General features: G+C 48.3%; 1 protein-coding gene across 6 annotated transcripts in view, besides 3 other annotated features; it reads right to left on the reverse strand.

Moving 5' to 3' along the window:
• The window catches only part of XXYLT1 (xyloside xylosyltransferase 1), a 202876-nt gene that overhangs the window by 98547 nt on the left and 84362 nt on the right, over positions 1-19967 (reverse strand). The window contains exons 3-5 of one of the 6 annotated variants that reach the window (XR_924105.4): positions 13561-13685; positions 8801-9023; positions 2773-8715 (exon numbers count right to left, since the gene is read on the reverse strand). The exons of 4 other annotated variants lie outside the window; for them this stretch is intronic. Coding sequence is in view for 1 of the 2 variants with exons in the window: in NM_001410854.1 (NP_001397783.1) it covers positions 8801-8843 (43 nt within the window). In the remaining variant the exon portion in view is untranslated. Of the gene's footprint in view, positions 1-2772; positions 8716-8800; positions 9024-13560; positions 13686-19967 lie in introns of those variants that run through there. One more of the 6 variants, NM_001410854.1, reaches the window with a different exon arrangement.
• Positions 13228-13805: an enhancer, noted in NCBI's record as "H3K27ac-H3K4me1 hESC enhancer chr3:194900787-194901364 (GRCh37/hg19 assembly coordinates)". NCBI's record gives its function as "activates a minimal SCP1, AML or CMV promoter by ChIP-STARR-seq in naive H9 embryonic stem cells {active_cell/tissue: H9 hESC(naive)}" and the evidence as "EXISTENCE:reporter gene assay evidence [ECO:0000049][PMID:30033119]".
• Positions 13806-14383: an enhancer, noted in NCBI's record as "H3K27ac-H3K4me1 hESC enhancer chr3:194901365-194901942 (GRCh37/hg19 assembly coordinates)". NCBI's record gives its function as "activates a minimal SCP1, AML or CMV promoter by ChIP-STARR-seq in naive H9 embryonic stem cells {active_cell/tissue: H9 hESC(naive)}" and the evidence as "EXISTENCE:reporter gene assay evidence [ECO:0000049][PMID:30033119]".
• Positions 17408-18607: an enhancer, noted in NCBI's record as "P300/CBP strongly-dependent group 1 enhancer chr3:194904967-194906166 (GRCh37/hg19 assembly coordinates)". NCBI's record gives its function as "activates an origin of replication core promoter dependent on BRD2, BRD4, P300/CBP, MED14 and CDK7 cofactors, with strong dependence on P300/CBP, by STARR-seq in HCT116 cells {active_cell/tissue: HCT116}" and the evidence as "EXISTENCE:reporter gene assay evidence [ECO:0000049][PMID:35650434]".

The raw sequence follows: 19967 nt of genomic DNA on the forward strand, positions 1-19967 counted from the left end.
AGCACACCCAGCTAATTTTTGCATTTTTAGTAGAGATAGGGTTTCACCATGTTGGCCAGGCTCGTCTTCATCTCTTGACCTTGTGATCCACCCACCTCGGCCTCCCAAAGTGCTGGGATTACAGGCGTGAGCCACCGCGCCCGGCCATGGGCCAATTATCTAGTAAAAGTCCTTCAATCTGGGTTTGCCTGATGTTTCCTCCTGACTAGACGCAGGCTGTGCATCTTTGTCAGGAAAGCCACGGAAGCCATACTGCGTTCTCGCAGCGCCATGTCGGCAGGCACATGGTGCCAGTGTGTCCTATCACTGTGACGTTAACTTTGATCACAGTCAAGCTACTATTTTTCTCTTTGTAACAACAACATTTTGTGGGGCAATACTTTAAGACTCTGACAATATCCCATCTCCTAACAAATGTTTACCTGTTTGTTTTAGCCTCCATTGATGATTCTTGTCTAAATAAATTATTACTATGTTGAGCCGGGCGCGGTGACTCATGCCTGTAATCTCAACACTTTGGGAGGCCGAGGCGGATGGATCACCTGAAGTTAGAAGTTCGAGGCCAGCCTGGCCAGCATGGTGAAACCCCATCTCTACTAAAAATACAAAAATTAGCCGGGAGTGGTGGTGGGCACCTGTAATCCCAGCTACTCGGGAGGCTGAGGCAGGAGAACAACTTGAACCCAGGAGGCGGAAGTTGCAGTGAGCCAAGATCACACCACTGCACTCCAGCCTGGGCGACAAGAGTGAAACTCCATCTCAAATATATATATATAGCTATGTCAATTGCCAAAAGGTGACTTTCCAATGCCTTCACTCCTTCTACATTTATTAGCTGGCATTCTACTCCACTGTGTTGACCTCACCCATGCCCAGCCAAGAAGAGCTTCCTGGGATCACCCACTTACGGTAGGTTGTGCCAAGCATATTGTTCCCTTCTAGTATTCCCCAAAATGCAAATACCAGAAGGCTCCGTGGTGCCTGAGGCAGGGGAACTGGACAAGGCAGAAGTGTCAGAGCTGCTGAGGCTGGAGCTTTGGGCCCATCATCCAAGTACTTGAGGCAGCAATGACCCGCTTAGAAAAATCTCCAGGATACGGGATCACTGTCCACTCATACTCGATGAAGAAATGATCACTGCATACCACAGGCAGCACCAGAACACCTTTTCTTTCCTCTATTTGTTTTTTTAAACAACTGTTGACATGGGCTCTCCATTATTTCACAAAATATGAACTGAGGGATTTTAGGCAAGCGTGAGTAGGTAGGGCCCTGGGATAGAGCCGTGGCTCACCGGCCTGGCTATGGCACTGCGTCCAACCATGGGCAAGCCATCCCCAGCTGTCGCAGACTGTAAGGATGAGGGGTTTGAAATGAATGTGGTCTGAGACTCCTCCCAGCCCTACCACCCTGTGATTCTGAACAGGAATGGTCTTTGCCCCTCACTCATACCTTGTTTGTTCTCAGAACAGCACAAATATATCATCAGACACAGGAGATATACTCTACTGCGTTGTTCTCACCCATGCCCAGCTAAGCAAGCCACAAAATCCCTACTATGTGCCAAGCACTATGCTAAATGTGAGGGTTCAGAAATAAATAGTGTCTTTCCTAGCCTCAAAATGCAAATACTGGAGGTTTTTTCACTAAATATCCTCTGCTGCCACTGCTGCAGCTGCTTCCATCCTACCCTGGTCCTGAGGGCAGCAGCCCTGCTCCCCAGTCACCCAGCAAGCATGGGCAGGCCCTGCTGAGAGAGGGCCCTGCCTATGAAGGAGAACCAGAGACTGGGAGGTGCTGGGACCTGCCTTACTACTGACAGCTCCCCTCTCTTCTGCAACATTCCTCATGATCATTAAATATCACCATATGGAAACTAACATTTCCTTAGTACCTACTGTGTGCCAGCCCCTGGAATATTTGAAAGGCCCTCACTTTCTATTTTGCAAATGTTGAAAATTCAGGTCCACGGTGGCCTGTAATAACCTGCTTAGGGTCACACGGCCAGTGAGTGACCAGCAGAAATGCAAGTTAGTCCCCATCCCCATCACAAAGTCTGAGCTCTTTTGCCTCAATGTGGTCCCTTTAAACAGGGCTTACCTCTGATTCCACCCACTCCCTGTGCAGTTACCTACTTCTGGGAAACAAATCACTCCAAAACCTAGTGGCTTAAAACAACAGTGTATTACTATCCCTGACAGTTCCGTGGGTCCCCTAGGCTTAGCAGGGTCTGATTGTGGGGGTCTTTTGGGCGAATGCAGTAAGACGGTGGCTGGGCTGGAGGCCTCTAAAGGCTCAGCCTGGCTGGCCGACCATGATGGCTACACAGGTCGCAGCAGTCCCTGCTGGCCGCGGCAACGCGCTTAGCAGAGCTGTCATCCTGATGAGCTCACGTGGGCTCTCCCTGAGGTTCAGGCTCCATCCCGGCACGGCAGCCGGGTCCAAGGGGAAGTCTGCCACGGTGAGTGTTCCAGGAGACCCAGGCTGAAACGGCAGGGCCTCTTGTGACCCAGCCTTGGAAGGCACTCGGCATCACTTCCACTCCATCCCATTTGTCAAAACAAGCCACGGTGCCAGCCCAGACTCAGGGAGAGGGACCAACACAAAGGTGTGCGTACAGGGAGGTGTCTCCCTTAGGGGTCGGCTTTGGAGACCAGCTGCCACGTCCCCTCATGCCACAGTGGGACACAGATATAGATGGTCCCCGCCACAATGCGGTTCCACTTCACAATTTTTCAGCTTTAGGATGGGTTTATCAAGGCATCAAATGTATTCTCAGCTTAGGATATTTTTTATTTACGATAGGTTTATTGGGCTATAGCCCCCCCCATAAGTAAAGGAGCGACTGTATTTTAAATTTCTTCCCTATAGTCTTCCTAGTTTTCTACTATATACAAACACACACACACACTTTTGTAATCACAGGGATAAATATTTGAAATTATAACTATATAATATTGTAATATATGTTCTATGTAGGAGTATCAGTGTGTCAAATGTATATTAATGTGTGTGTGTGTACATATATATATATATATATTTTTTTTTTTTTGAGATGGAGTTTTGCTCTTGTTGCCCAGCCCAGAGTGTAATGGCACGATCTCGGCTCACCGCAACCTCTGCCTCCCAGGTTCAAGCGATTCTCCTGCCTCAGCCTTCCAAGTAGCTGGGATTTCATGCCCGGCTAATTTTGTATTTTTAGTAGAGACAGGGTTTCTCCATGTTGATCAGGCTGGTCTTGAACTCCCAATCTCAGTGATCCGCCAGCCTCGGCCTCCCAAAGTGCTGGAATTACAGGCGTGAGCCACCACGCCTGGCCGTTAATGTATATATTTATATATATGTGTGTATATACACACACATATGAAACCAGAAGAAAATATACAAAATACCACTGGAATAAGTGTGCAATTATTTTTAAAGTATTTTTCATGTTTCCAAAATGGACATATATTGCTTTTGAAAACATTTTAAAAGAAATTAATTAACTACCTCACAGAAAACACCCATCTTTTAGTCAATGTGCATGAGATTTAAGGCATTTAGCCATGACCGCAACTTTCTTTAGGATTCCTTCTCAAAGTCAACAGAGGCACCTATTTATACAACCTTCTTCCGAAGCCAAGTCCGCTCCAAGCTTCTGCAACCTTCCTGCTTCACCACAAGATGGTTGACTGGACTTCCAAATGCATTTGTCAAAGAAAAATCAAACAATAAGCTGAGAGTTCATCTCACCTGGCTTCGTTTCCTGTCATTCATCTAGCTGTATTTATGCTACATTTCCCCATCTCTTCTTGCCAAGTACATCTTGGAAAGAGCAGATGCTCTGAGTATCTGAGCAGCTTAGAAAAATCCTCAAGCCTCCAGAGACTGAGCCTTTCCCAGAGGCCAATTTGCATTCTCAGAGCTCCAGGCCTAAAGGAACCCACTAAGCCAGAGCAGTGACTGTCACCTGTAAACCTAGCACTTCGCGAGGCCAAGGCAGGAGGATCCCTTGAGCACAGGAGTTCGAGTCCAGCCTGGGCAATGTAGTGAAACTCCGTCTTAACCAAAAAAAAAAAGTAATCCAGCCATGAAAGAGCAGCCTCAGAAATAGGTGAGGACACGAGCTCATGAATGGGAAAGTTCAGTCAAACCTCTGTGTCCAGGGAGGTAAACTGAGGCAAAGCAATTCCCTTCCTGTCAGATTTAAATGACTGTGTAAACCTCACTGCAGACAATGAGGTGGAAGGTGATGAACTTGCTACTGCCTAAAGTGATACAGACCATCCAAACCCAACAGCAAAAGCAGCCAACGGGCTTCCCTCTGAGTTAACAGCCAGCAAAGGCACAGGGTGAGCCTGGACCGCACGCTTCGGGAACTGGGCATGGAAAGAGCTGGGCACCTGGGCAGGAGATGCCACAGGCAAGCCTAAGTTCTCCTGGCAGCCCTACCCTTCCCACAGGAGGGCAGGTTCTGAACGGCCAAGCCCTGGGGTCTGTTACCAGCGTCCGCACACATCAACAGCTCTGGGAGCCCGAGATGGTGTATTTGTTGAGTCAGTCAGTGCTATTTTTACCCGGTCACTTTCCAACCATAAACCCAGACTTCAAATGTCATCACTTGGGGTGGATTAAGAAATCTGACTTGGCCTTTCTTGGGGTTTAATTTCCTACACGCCTGCATGAACGAAAAACTTTGGCATTCCTATGGAAACTAAGACATTTTAACCTTATCCAGGCAGGTGGTATCTGGATTATTGGTGTCTTGATTGTACTCTTAAACCTGCAGTTTCCCGATCTCCATGGATGTCAAACAAACAAACAAACAAAAAGCGTGTACTGCTCTGATGAGGCAGAGACGCCATGCCCTGCCCTTTCTCTCCTCTTCCAAAACAGGTCGCTTCCCCACAGGTCTGTATTCATGGTCTGGTTCCCAGAATGCCAGGTCAGGGCAAATTTGCTTTCTGAATATTCTAGTCCAATATCAAGAGATGAGGTTGCCTCTGTGCAATTCATACAACAGTTATTTGTGACTTTACTGGAGTCATTAATAGTTAAGTGATAAACATCCAGGTACAGAGTTTGGTAACTGTCAGTGATGGAAGATTTGAACAATCTTAAAAGAATTCCCAAGTGATTTCAGTTATAAAGCCAGGCGTTAATTGTGTGGTCACAGAAACGCTGAACACGTACCAAAAGGAAAAGGGATGTTCCTTTTCCAGGGGAGCCAGTTTGAGTTTTGTTTTCTTTTTAAAACACTTGTACCTTCATTCATATTTTAAGTACCATCATGATGGTTGGTAACTTTAATTCCTTTAACATTAACAAAATTGGTCAAAAGCACTTCTAGCCCAGGCGATCTGGGATTTTCTGCTCCAAGACAGACAGAGCCCTTCTGCTTTTCAAAAGAAAAACCTGGAACTGCACCAAGGTTTCCTCCTGCACCTAACGAGAGGCTTGCCATGCTGGAATAAAAACAGAAACAAGATGCTGCTCGAAGTGTTTCGCTCAGGAGGAAAAACACTGCCCCAAGAAGTTACCAGCTGGGCACTGCTGAACGTGAGCACGGTCCCAGGTTCTCTCCGGGGCCAGGGGAAGTACCAAGCCGGAACCTCTGAGTGAGTGTCCCATCAACAGTACCCGCAGCCAGCAACAACACACTGCAAAGTTCTAAGACATGGATGCCTTCCCTGTTCATGACTAACAACTTTGCATTCTTTCAATCATTCAACGAATATTTATTACACCCCTACTGTGAACCAGGCACTGCTCTAGCCACTGCAGATAAGGCAGGGGAAAGACAGGCAGGGGTCCCACTCCTGTAACTTACAGAGTAGACAAGATGGCCTCAGATGGCAGTAAGTGTTTCGGAGAAAATAAAATAGGGTGATGGGGGAGAATGTGACATTGTGAGAGCTACTGGCATCGGATAGTCAGGGAAGGGCTTTTCAAAAGGCAACATTTGAGCTGAAACTTGAACTGTGGGGAAACAGAAATGCAAAGATTTGGGGAAAGAGGGCAAAGGGAGTCACTAGTGAAAAATCAAGGAATGCATTTAGCACATTTCTGTTAAAAAGCGGGGAGGAGAACCAGTGGAGTTGGAGCATGGGTGAGTGAGGAAGAAAGGTACTAAAGCTTAAAGCCGTGGCTAGAGAGCTAGGTGGACACACCTGATCGGGTGAGGGGCTTTAGGCATTAGAGAGGAGTGGTTTGGCAGCCCCCCGGGGCTGATCGACACCCCTACTTTCAAGACTTGGCACCTCTCCATGCCTCTACCCTGATCCTGGCGTCCTGGTACACATCTTGCAAGTCCATCAGGAGCTCTGGCTCTCTAGACGGTGCTCCCAACAGTGGAGATGCTCACCCTGAGAGATGTCATAGAGCTCTCCCACTAGGGAACCGCATCTCCCCTGCATTTTAGGTCCCCTGGCTAACTTTTGTGAGGCTGGGGCCAAAGACAGAGAGTGTAGCTGCTACTCCTCAAGGAAAGAAAATACCAGGAAGGCTCAGGGAAAGACGCAGCGTCTCCTCCCCCAGCATCTGCCTGGCCATTATGGCCTGGTTCTGCTCCTGGCCTCATTCTCCTTTGTGTTGTTACCTAGGAGGTGCTCGACACTAAGTAACATTCTGGTTCATATAAGACTGGGCGGAAGAACAGCTCCCAGCACAGCCTTGCTATGCACCTAAAAACGGACATGAAACTCTATTTTTATTCACTGAATCGTATGCTCCTAATGACTAAAAGCATCATTTTAAAGACCTTTCATTTTCCTTTCTGGTTTTCAAATGGCCAGTGAGCTTCCCACTTTTCCAAATTCCCTTCCTCCACCCTCCCCACCACAGTAGTCCACTGACTCGGGGTAAAGTACGGGCTCAGGGGAATCCTACTGAAAGGCATCGTGGATAAAGTGAACTTCACTTTAGAAAGCAGAAGGAGCTTTGCATCTCAGGCCATCCCGCACCGGCTCGCTGTCCAGGAGAGCACCCAGCTCCCACCAGGGAGTCCCTCCTATGGGCCATGAGTGGCAATGACCTCATTTCCCTGACAGGAATTGTGGAGATGTCATTGCTGGGGTCTTCCCCAGGTCACGAGACTAAGGGCTGTGTCAGTAGGCACTGGTGAGAACAGCCGCTGGCTCCCTCGGGTTGCAGGAGCAGAGTGACATACTCAGAGTCCCTCAGTCAGAGGATGGAGAGGAAGCTCAAGGCAGAAGGAGGACACCAGGCCAGGCAGACACTTCTCTGGTGATTTTTTCTTTTTTAACGAGGGCTGTAGATCATTTCATTGGTCAGCTTCATATAAGCCAGCCTCCTGCCAGCCTTGCTACTGGCAATCAGGAAACCTTCCACACACCACCCCATCTTTGTCTAGAGACCCTTTGTCTAGAGCCTCAAAAGAAAATGAGGCTTTCACTTTTCCTCTGCAGAGGAGGCAGAGGAGTGGATCCTGGGAAGAGGAAACACACGGGCTCTCTTCCTCACAGCAGCCTACTCTTTTTCTTCTTAGGACTTCCCACAGTTGGCAATTATACCTTTTTTTTTCTGAGATAGGGTCTCCCTTGGTCACCCAGGCTAGAGTGCAGTGGCACAATCACAGCTCACTGCAGCCTTGATTTCCCGGGCTCAAGTGATCCTCCCACCTCAGCCTCCTGAACAGCTGAGACCACAGGTGCACACCACTACACCCGGTTAATTTTAATTTTTTTTAAAAGACAGAGTCTCATTATGTTGCCCAGGCTGGTCCTGAACTCCTGGGCTCAAGTGATCCTCCTGCCTCAGCCTCCTGAGTAGCTGAGACTATAGGAGCATGCCACCATGCCTAGCTATTTCCTTTCCTTCCCTCTTTCCCTCCCTCCTTTCCTTCCCTCCCCCCTCCCTCCCTTCCCTTCCCTTTCTCTTCTTCCTCTTCCTCCTTCTCCTCCTCCCCTTGGCTGCCTCCTCCTCGTCCCCTTTCCCTTCCTCTTCTCCTTCTCCTTCTTCTTTTCATAGAGATTGGGTCCCACTATGTTGCCTGAGCTGGTCTCGGACTGGACTCAAGCGATCCTCCCTCCTTGGCCTCCTGAGAAGCTGGGTCTACATGAGTGTGCCACCGTGCCCAGCCACAGTTGTACATCTGTTTGTTTACTTATCTATGGTTGGCCTCTCTCATAAGACTGTAAGCTCCATGAGGGCTTGGATTGTCCCTTAGTACACATTCAACAACAACTATTATTTTTTAAAAGGAGGAAATACAAGACTCACAGAACCAGGTTCACTTGGTAAAGAGCTTCCCCATTTAAGAAACTTAGAGCAACGATGAAAAAGCTCTACCCCAGAGCAATCGGGGCTGTGCCCTCAGAGCCACAGTTGTTGAGCATCAAATTCTGCCAGGGCAGAGCGGTCAGGGAAGTACACACAGGCAGTAATGCTCGGCCTAAGTCCTCGGAAGACAGAGAAGTCCTCTCCCCATAACAAGAGAGGCTCTTCTACAGTCAGGAGGGCCACGCAGCGTGCACTGGCTGAGCACCAGCCCGGCGGACAGAAGCAGAGGGCAGAAGCTCTCAGGAGACATGTGTGAGATGGAACTGGGGGAATGCGGACAGAAGGGAAGTCTAAGACCATTCCTTTGTTTCTGGCTCAAGCAACCTGTCATTAGCCAAGCTTCGGAAAGGGCACATTTGGGGAGAGGACGACAATGAGTTCTGTGTTGCATGTTGACTTTGCTGCACCCATGGGCTGTTCAGATGGAGATTCCTAGGGGTAGTTAGGACACAGGTCTGGGTGTTTCAGAAGCAGGTCTCAGATGGACACGGTAGTAACAGACATCGCTAGTGCTCACCCGCACTCTGCCTTCCTGGATCCTTGCAGCGAGGTGGCCACATGACTAGCTCCTGGCTGATGGACTATGAGCAGAAGTGCTGTGTGCAACTCTGGACTGTAGCAGTGAGAAGCCACTGCAGGGCCTCAGCCACTGCTCCCCTGGAAGCCACATGCTCCAGATGGCGTCGTTACAGGATGGAAGTGGCCTCGATTCCCGAGTCACTGCTTAAAAGGAAGATGTCCTAGAAAGCCAATGCATCCAGTGTGACATTTGTGTGGGAAAGAAAAAAAAAAATTATGTATGAAGTCACAGAAATTTCAGTCATGTTTGTTATTACAGCCCAGCTTAGTCTAGCCTTACTAACACAGAGGTCATCAGTGTATACGTAGCAGCTTAAGTCAAGTAGACACAATCTTTTTTCTGCCCACACACCTAAAAGATATGACAGAATTTTTTTTTTTTGAGACAGGGTCTCACTCTATCGCCCAAGCTGGAGTGCAATGGCATGATGCCAACTCACTGCAACCTCCATCTCCTGGGCTCAGATGATCCTCCCACCTCAGCCTCCCAAGTGGCTGGGACTACAGGTGTGTACCACCATGCCCCGCTAATTTCTGTATTTTTTGTAGAGACAGGGTTTCACCATGTTGCCCAGGCTGTAATTTTAACAACATGACCACATTCCAGTAATGACCTGAAAGGGAGAAGAGGTGACGTTCCCCTGCCCTGGCATGCATATTATAATCCTGGGTAGAGGAGGGGTGTGTAGAATGCTTAAATCCCCTCCCAGTAATTCTGATCCTCTGTGATCACACTTCTCCCCCATGATCTGAAAAGAACTGGTATGAAATGAGATGAGAAGCAGATCTTGAATATTCTGTCTTCGGTTTCAAACACAACAATCTTGCTTGTGCGCCATCAGTACGTTCCACCCCTCTGACACACTGGTATAATTTGATTAATTTATCGTGTTTATTAAGCTCCCTAGCTTCTCCAGTTCCTCATGTTTGGAGATACATTGATGTTGATGAGGCTGGAGAGCTGGAGGAAGCAAGACAGTAATCTGTATCCCACACCACAGCTGGCACTCCCTTACGCTTACCTAAGGACTCTAAACATGCAAAAGGCAGATGTTTGGGGTTGGAATTGACAATATGAAAAGCTCAGTAAGAAGACGCAAAAGTCACAGTTCCCATGGTAACCCTCCTTACCTCACAGAGCACAGGCCCACAGGGTCTGCTGGAAAGGTGATCTGAGAGGTAGGACAAGGCCGACTCCTTGGAACCAGCAAGAAACTCTCAAGCCCCCGCCTAGGGACTAACTCCCCGGCCTGCTGCCGCTGCTGACGTCCCCCCGCCACAGCAGGTCGGGGACCACATGCCGCCCTCCTCGCTGGGCTCTCACATCAGCACTACCAGCCAGGGGTTACTCCAGGGAAAGGGAAGGGTGCTACTCATAAAGGCTGGGTCCCTCCCTCAGGCTTCTACAGGAGCCCTTCTGCCGAACTCCTGAACCTCCTGTGGGCTTCCCAGGCTGTCCGTGCAGAATCACCTGCTCCCTTACAGTATTAACTCGCGTAGTTCTACTGCATATGCACACAGTATTATATTTAGGCATTTGTGCATCTGTGATGCTTCCTAGACAGTGAGGCCCACAGAGGTATGGACTGTATCTTGCCCTTTTATCCCTGGCCTCCAGAACAGGATCTGAAGGAGGACCTCAATTTCAAGATGACCTCAAATGAATGAATTCAAGATTCTCTCTTGACTCTTGAATGTGTTCATCAAGGACTTACTAGAAGATAGAGAAAGATACTTACCAGGCTTGCCAAGAGCATGAAACAGAGACACAGAATGGCAAACAGAAAGGGCAGAAGAATCAGTCTCTGACACAACCTGGTGGGGTAGGATCAATGCACCAACTCAAACTTGGGCTGAACATGAAAGCCCTGCAGTGGCATCATGCCAACCAACCACACAAGTTCGTGGCCATGAGACCTGCCTTAGCAGTAGCCTCAAAAAATGGGGAGATGGCCAGGTACGGTGGCTCACAGTGATAATTCCAGCACCTTGGGAGGCTGAGGGAGGACGATCGCTGAGTGCAGGTGTTTGAAAACCAGCCTGGGCAACACAGCAAGATCCCATCTCTACAAAAAAAATAAAAAAATAAAAAATAAAAAAATTAGCTAGGCATGCGCCTGTAGTCCCAGCTACTCAGGAGGCTGAAGTGGGGTAATTGCTTGAGTCCAGGAGTTGGAAGTTACAGTGAGCTGTGTTCATGCCACCGCACTCCAGCCTGAGTGACAGAGCAAGGCTCTGTCTCTTAAAAAAAAAAAAAAAAAAAAAGAGGGATGGAAATGTTGCTTTTGTTGACTGGAGTATCAGTTACAAGGGTATATAAGTTTGTCAAAACTAACTGGACTGCACACTTAAGACCTGTGCATTTCATTGTATTAAACATTTGATCTTGATAGAAAATAAATGAAAAGGAGGTATGACAGTCTGACTCCATTTTTTGCTCTTTAACTGCTGACAGCTTTTTTTTTTAAGCCCCATCCCTCGCTCTTCCCCTTCTGCCCCACATCTGGGCAAGCTGATAAGAAAGTCTGGATGCTCTCCCGCTTGGCTGCAGCAGAAGGTTCAAACCATGTAAGCCCCTGCCCACACGGAACCCTCGCCCAAACCTAACCGCTAATCACCATACAATCCCCAGACCAGTCTCCTTTCTCCTTTCTCTTCCCTGTCTTTCATTTTCAGACCAGCTTGAGAAGCCGGCCCTGCTCTCTCCAGAAAACCCTATTATGTGGTCTCAACGTTCAAATCAAATTCTGGGTGGAGACCATCCTGGAAATGTGGAGCGGCCACAACAAAGGGCACACACAGAGGATTTGGTGCCACTGCAAACTCAGTGTCTCCAGCAGGACGCGGCCATCAAATAAGGACTTGGCGCAGCTCCATCAGCAGAGGCAGAGCTCCCTGGTTTCACGCAGGGAGCTGAGAATAGCCCTGTACTCTGCACTCCGGTTTGTGTCTGCCCTCTCCCAGTGCCCAGCTCTGAAGCACGGTCTTCACACCTGGGCCCCGTACTTGAGGGGAGCAGAGACCAACTGCTGTGCATTCAGAAGCAGGTATCTGGAGAGCAGGGAACCTAGAGATATTTCCACCAGGGAGCACATGGGGAAGCCGGGACTGTTTCCCCTGATGGAAGGCTCTCTCTGAATTTGTAAAAGAAAGGAAATAGGCTTCTTCATTGAGATCGAGAGCTGAAGCATCAAGAGATAAAAGCAGGTTTTGGAAAACATAAGAAAGAGTTTTCTAAAATATGTCTGAAGATGGAAGAGGCTACTCTGAAGGTGGCAGCTCCCTGTCCCTGGGCCTTCACGTAGTTTCCACTGGACAACTCCACACTCCAGGGAGGCCATGGAGGAGATTCAAGAACTCATGATGGGGCCGGGCGCGGTGGCTCACGCCTGTAATCCCAGCACTTTGGGAGGCCGAGGCGGGCGGATCATGAGGTCAGGAGATCAAGACCATCTTGGGCAATATGGTGAAACCCCGTCTCTACTAAAAATACAAAAATTAGCTGGGCATGGTGGCACGTGCCTGTAATCCCAGCCACTCGGAAGGCTGAGGCAGGAGAATTGCTTGAACCAGGGAGTCAGAGGTTGCAGTGAGCCGAGATCGCGCCACTGCACTCCAGCCTGGGCGACAAGAGTGAGACACCGTCTCAAAAAAAAAAAGAAAAAAAAAAAAAGAACTCATGATGGGATCGTACCTCAGAGTTTTTCCAGCCCCAAAACACTCTGACCCAATTCAACAACTCCCTTAACTCCACTAAAAACTGCAGTGTTCAATACTCTGACCAGAAAAGGATATGGAAGCTCAAGAACTGGTTTTCAGTCACGTCCTATTTACACTCAACTTGAACACTGGCCAAAGAATCAGTCGGCTGAAGAGGCCTGCGTGTGTGGAGGAGGAATGCTGAGGAGACATTGGCCCCAGAATGGACACCGTCAGCTTGTAAGTCCACTAGTCAATTCCAACAGAAAAACCCCAAAAACAGAAACAAACCGGAGGCAAACAGCCCACACCGAGAGGTAAGCAGTTTCTAACTGGGAACTCAATTTCATCCTGCCCATGAGAAAAGCACAAAAAAGGTGATTTTCCAGATTCCACTTGCAGCCGTAGAGATGTGGGACAAATTTAAAAACGAGTCACAATTAACAAAGGATTTCCTAAGTGTGGTGTTGAGCCAGGAAACCTGCCCTGCGTCGCCCATGCTGTGACTGATGCGTGGGCCCCTGAGGATGCCTCCCCGTGATCCCTCGGGCCTTTGCTTCCTCCTCTCCCTCCCACTGTCTCCCCCAACACAGGCAGGCTCCAGGCCGGGACTCCACACTGCAGGCAGAGTCGGGCCAGGGTGCGGCTGAGTGACGGAGCGCCTGGTGAGGGACAGAAGAATCTCTGAGCGGCCCCAAGCAGTGGGGTTCTGGCAGAGCACCGCTGACCCGTCATGGAAGGAGGGGAGCAAACAAGAGGGGCAGGGAGGGAGGCAGCTGTGTAGCAGGCCTGGGGTGGTCTGGCTTATGCACAGTCATTTCTAACGCCAGATCCCCGTCTCTGCACTGACACCGGGGGTGGTGAGTGGCACACTCGGTCCCCCAGTTACAGGAAAGGTCCCTTCCATCCTGGGGACCCAACTCATGAGGGCCCAGAAGGAAGGAGCCACAAAGGTCTGGATGGTTTATCCCCCTGGCCCGCCTGGCCCTCAAGACACACTTCCTTCGGCTGCAGCCTCGCCGATTCCCGAGCTGTTTCCTGCTGCTTTTCTCATTTCATGAACTTCTTTTGAACAATTTCCTGTTCCTTTTTCTTTCTATGCTCCTCTTCCTGGCTCTGTAGCCCTTGAAAAGAAGCAAACAAACAGATAAGGGTCAGCATCTGAGGCCAGACCCTAAGGCCCTTCCCAGCCCTCTCCAGAGCGTGATGTGGCCCCGTCTGGCTAAGAGCACCAGACGGCGGTGGCTGGAGCACCCCGTGCCACTGCAAACGTGACCAGGAACATGGGTCTGACAGCTCTGGACACACACAAGCAGACGGGAAAGGCGCCTGCCCACTGCCCCCACCCCTGCAAGCACACACCTGCTCGCCAGGAGCAAGGGCAGCGCCGGCCCTCCTCGGGAGAAGCTCCAAGGCCTGTCCCTAGTCCTGCCTCAGGACTTTGCTCGTGAGGGGTCCTCAAGGCCACTGTCGCCCAGACCTTTAGCTATACAAAAGTAAGTGGTATGGTTCATCCCTTCTTGGCTAATGAGGTTTGACCACAAACCAAAATATAAAATGCCCAACTGATTTCAAGGAATTCAGTTCAGACAAAGGGCTAAAGGGTGGTGACTCCAGGCCGTGAGAGGGAAAGACAAGGCCGGAGCATCTGAGCCTTTGATGGGGCCCACCTGCGGCCAGGTGTGTAGCACTTAGAGAACATGTTCTAAAAAGAGAAATAAAGGTAATTTATTTGAGAAGTCGGTGCTTGAGAACACTGTGCTTCTCCTGAGGACTGACTTGCTTCCCCTGAGGACTGACTTGCTTCCTTCTCTCTGACAATGACGGCTCCATAAAGGATGACAATCTCCCTTTTCACACTGGCTGTGTATCTGCGTGGCTGCGTGGCTGCGTGGCTGCGGGGCTGCGGGGCTGCGGAGCATGTTTTGCCACCAGGCGTGCCTTTATGTCTTTTTCTATGAGGTCTACACTTTCATCTTCTACACATTTACCCCCTGGCCCTGAGTGTCTACTTGGTTTTGTTTTTTCACCTTTGTGTCATTTTAGTGAACACCTCAAATTCTCTGAGGGCTGTGACAGGGGACTGAGGAAGTGGATGATAATAGATATCCACAATCATGGTGTGAGCAGGTAACACTGCTTGAGTGCTTACTGTGTGCCAGGTACTGTTGGAAGCTGTTCCTGTATATAAGCTCACTTGGTGCTCACAACAACCCTCGAGATAGGTGTATTTCCATGGATAATGTATCCAGCCATGTGCTGGATCCTCTCACCCTCATTTCAGAGGAGAAGTCTTGGGCCCAAGTGGTTAAGTGCCCACAGGTGGTATCTGGCAGTGCTGGGTTTTGCACCAGGGCTGTTCCTCCCACAGCTGATACCCTTAACCACTGCATAATACATGGAAATAAGAGGGGAAGATGAATGAATGGCCTAACTCATGGACAATGGGTAAACTGCCCAAGCTAAAGTCAGAGGTTAGCTCCTAATGAGCTTCCGTATTTTTCTTGAGAAAGCTGGTCACCCAAGGTCTCCAATAAAATATGCTACTACAAACACACTTTCTATCTCAACAAACACTCCAGTTCTCTGGTCCAATTCCAGAGCAATATGACTAAAAACTGCCATTTGTTGAGTCCTTGCCTTGTGACAGACACTGTGAAGGGCATATTTACTCATTCACTCATTGATCCAACACCCTAAAACCTAGTCATCATCTTTCCAGATACTGTGCCAGCCCCTAAACGAGGTATGTGCTCCCGGGCAAGTCATTTAACCCCTCTGTGCTGGATTCTCTCGCCTTTAAGATGGGAAACTACCATATCCGCCTTCCTACCTTATATGGTGGCAGTGCAGATCGGGAATCAGCACATGTAAAGCACTTAGAATAGTGACTAACCTCTAATAATTGCTCAGTTAATGTCAACTGTCACTGCTGCTGCTGCTGCTATTACCTGACGAGGACAACTACATAAAGCAACTTGTTTATCTACTGAAAGTAATCATAGTAGCTTTTACTATACAAGAGACTGGAAGGTAACATCTCCATCCTAAAGGTTCTAAGTCTCATTCTCCCAATAAATCAATTAGTCCTATATGCAAATGGGCAAGCCTCAGAGCCGCAGAGCCAGACTCACTAGACGAGCACAGTGTGTTACTCATGCTGCCAAAAGCTTATAAACAGCTCCGTGGAGGAGGAAACATCCTGCTTGTTTTTCATTCTCCCTCCTCCCCCACTCCCCTGAAACCTAGCAATAAGCCGAGGTCTGCTTTCCCCATCAAGAGTGTAGATCTTAATACAAAAAGTCACTGACGAAAGGAAGGAAATTAATAAAAAGAACAAAAGACCTTACATTTTTCATCCCTTTATGTGAAATCTATTTTTTCTCTCAACAATAAAAACAACTGCCTCCCTATAAACGGTAAGGATTAAAACGTTTAGCATGGGGCTGCCAAAACAACTCCCTGAACCCCAAAAAATTACTGAGAAACTTCTAATGTGCCTGTACTAACGTATGTACCAACAATAGAAGAATTCCTAAATCTATAAAGAAGATTAACTATGTTATGATAGCTTATATCACGTTTTTACACACTTCATCTCCTTTCTTTTCTATAAAGCCTTGTGAGGTGCATGTTCTTATCCTCATTTTATAAGTCAAGAAACGGAAGCTCGGGCAGGACAAATAATTGATGAGCTCATATAATGAGAAAGCAAGAATGGGGTTCAGGTTTGGGGCTCTAAATTCATTACCCTGTTCCACTCACTGTGTGTGATGTGGTTTGGCTGTGTCCCCACCCAAATCTCACCTTGAATTGTAATCCTCATAACCCCCACGCATCGTGAGAGGGACCTGGTAAGAAGTGATTGGATCATGGGGGCAGTTTCCCCCACGCTGTTCTAGTAATAGTCAGTTCTCATGAGATCTGATGGTTTGATAAGCATCTGGCATTTCCCCTACTGGCCCTCAGTCCCTCCTGACCCCTGGGAAGAAGGTGCCTGCCTCTCCTTTGTCTTCTGCCATGATTGTAAGTTTCCTAAACAATGTGGAACTGTGAGTCGAAACCTCTTTCATTTATAAATTACCCAGTCTCGGGTATTTCTTCGTAGCGGTGTGAGAACAGACGAATACAGTGTGTCTCCCACTGAACTCTTGGGATTCAGGCTACGATTGGTCTGTCCTTTGGGTCTCTGAAAAATTGGCTTCCATCTGTTGTGGCCAGTGCCAGAAGGTCTGGTTCTAGGAATCCAAAAAGGTTAGGTCATTTTCAGGAATCCAGGGGACTCAAGTCCCTCCAGAATGATCCAAAGCTCTGCTATGGTTGCAAACAGGAAGGGAGTGAAACTACCAAGGAGCCCAGAACCCAACTGTTACCCACCCTGGTCCCCAGGAAAGGGGCAATTTGGGACCAACTAGGACTCTACCCCTCAACAGTCCAAGACTAGAAGGGAACCAGTGTGAAGGCTGAATGGTCAGAAAAAAACTGGAAGGCCTGACACTTCCCAGGATCGAAGGGCTATGTGATCCACTTGGCTGCCCTAGACCATCTGTGAGGCATATCATTTTGAGAGAAGAACACTGCCTTAAATTCTGGAATGAAAATCTTTTGTTAGAATACAGGCTGAATTTATAATCTACAAAGGAAGAGAAAGAGAAAAGACACACAAATGGCCTAGTTTGTGCAACACTGTCCAGCACACTTAAACTCATTTAATCAGCATCATTGAGCTATGAGCAAAGACAACCATCAGAGCAAGATACACAGGTGGGCCCTGCACAAAGACCACCCGTGTAAGGCCCTGTGTCGGTCCTTTTATTAAGAGTGAGTTAATTCAGTGCAAAAGAACAATGGACAAGCTTGGCAATTGCTTCAGTTTTACAACAGACGATATCAATTTTTCACATAACTTTCCAAAATGCTAAATGTGACTGGCTTTTAGCCCAATATGTGGAGCTCTCCATACCTCAGTTGACCTCCTTTTGGATTTCAAGCTGTCAAACACCTTTAGATCATAACAAAGGGCTAACTGAACGGCATGATCTTTAAACCGAAAACATGATTAAACCTTTGCCTTTAAACTGAAACCATGATTAAAATCCCAACTCACCTTGTTGGCTGACACCATACCTCAGACTATCTTAATAAATGGCCTCCTAATTCTGGAAGTTTAAGAAAATCCTCAAAATGGTTTGGAAGAACCCCCCCAAGAAACATTTAAGTCTCCCTGATTAGGTCTACTTACCCAGAAACAAGGTCTCTTCAGGACTCACCGGAGAACCAACAGAATTCCTTCCCCACCCCACACACAGCCGGTAAAACTTCCAATATTTGAGTCTATCATAGACACAGTAGGCTGGGAAAATATTCCAGGGAACTTAGCATTCTGAAAGAAGTGACTACTTCAATTAGGAAAAAAATCTGAAGTTCCCTTTCAGGCCAAATCATTCTCATTCATCTTTACCAATAAAATGGTCTACATTCAAATGGTAAGTTTGATCCCCGCATCATCAATCATCCTTTCAGTTTCGTTTGATCAAATGTTGGGCATTTATACAGCTCATTTTACAAACCATACAAATCAGAAGGTAGAAGTCAGGAGGGCCTGGCACCCCTCATGCCTGCCCTCTTGCAGAGCAGTGACAGCTCCACAAATGACCTCACTCCCATTAAAGAAAAAAGGAAGGAAAGAAGGAAGAAGGAAGGAAGGAAGGAAGGAAGGAAGGAAGGAAGGAAGGAAGGAAGGAAGGAAGGAAGGAAGGAAAAAAGAAAAAGAAAAGGAAAGGAAAGGGGAAGGAACAGAGGGTGCTGGAGAATAGGGAAGAAAGGTCTGTTCTGGGAAACAGAACAGTAGGGGTTTTGGAATGCTCAGTGTCTTAGAACTTAGACTAAAGACTGGAAACACCAGCTCAGGGAATATTCCATCGTGGTCATCTGATTGCTGGAACATGAAACTTGGAGCACATCTGCAGTGAAATGGGGGAGGAATAAAGATACTGAAAGGACATTCTCCAGAACCATGAGGACAGAGAGACTTCAGCAGAAAATAGGCCACTAGTATTTTGGGGTCCTGCTTCAGGAGCAAAACTTTGGTCCAGAGAGGTTTAGGGCTGGGTTTTTTTTTTTTTTTTTTTCACTTTGATTTCTGAGGTCACTGAAGGACCATGGGTAATAAGGTCAATTTGTGCTGATTTATAAAAATCAGCCTTCTGACTTCAGAGCTGTGGCACACATTATTTTAGACTCTGAGGTCATGTTAGTCACAGGTGTTGGGCTGGCCTGGCCTGAGGAGCAGGTCGACACACCCTCTGGGCGCTGAGGGACACAATGGGGACGGCATCTTCACTTTCTTCCTTCCGGTCCTTCCTGAGTGCTTGCAAGTGAGCCCAACCCTTACTTCTCTAAAAGAGGCTCACACCCCATCTACATACCTGGACACTCCCTCTCCTTGCACAACAAGACCAGAGGCCTCTCCCTTCCCTTTCCCACCTCTCTTCAGTCACTTTCACTCAGACCTTTCTTTTCCTGTGAAGGCTTCCTGCTCCCTTGGCCCTCAAGCTCTGAAGACCAGTCCACAGCTTTCTGGCTCTAGGGTCCCTGCAACACCTACCACGAGCTCTCAACCTCCCCTCTCACCTAAGAAGTCCAGGCCACTGTGCTCCTAAGTGCCTGGACCGCCTCCTCAGCTGCCTTCTGCTACATGATCAAGTTTCCCCAGAACTTTTGAAAGCCACCACAGAGCTGCTCCCAGACATGTCATTCCCCTCTTCAAAACCTTCCATTGCTGGTTCCCTCACCACAACCCAACAACTGGAACTCTTCGTTGAGCTTCACTGTGCTCTCCAGGGATCCTCAAGTCCAGACCATTCTTTCAGGTCCATCCCACAGAAGAACGCATGCAAAAGTACTTAAGTCACTGGATGAAAATGCAAACCATATTACTCCATTGGTTAAAATGCCACCAGTGGTTGCAAATCCCACTGTCCCCAGGATAAAGTCCCCAATCCCTCGCACAGCTTTCAAGGCCCTGAATAGCCTGACCGGGGTGTGCTCCAGGCAGCTAAGGCTTCAGCTTCTGGGGCACATCAAGCTCCTTCCACCCACAAAGCTTTTCCACTCAATATGCTCTCGGCCTCACTCTTCTTCCTCCGTGTCTTGGCCTGGCTAAGTCCCACCCACTTGTCTCACCTTAAATGTCACTGTCTGGAGGAAGTCTTTAGTAACAATCCCCCCCCACACACCCTGAATCCCCCACTCGGGCAGCACCTGGACTTCCCCTTCGTTGCCCTTATTGCAGCTGTTCCCATTATCTGCTTAATGTCTATCTTCACTGTACATTCCATGAGGACAGAGACCGACCCCATCTGTTTTTCTAACCCCCATGTCCTTAGCACCTAGGCAAGATCTGG

The sequence above is a fragment of the Homo sapiens genome, chromosome 3 (assembly GCF_000001405.40).
Source record: "Homo sapiens chromosome 3, GRCh38.p14 Primary Assembly".
Lineage (NCBI taxonomy): Eukaryota > Metazoa > Chordata > Mammalia > Primates > Hominidae > Homo > Homo sapiens.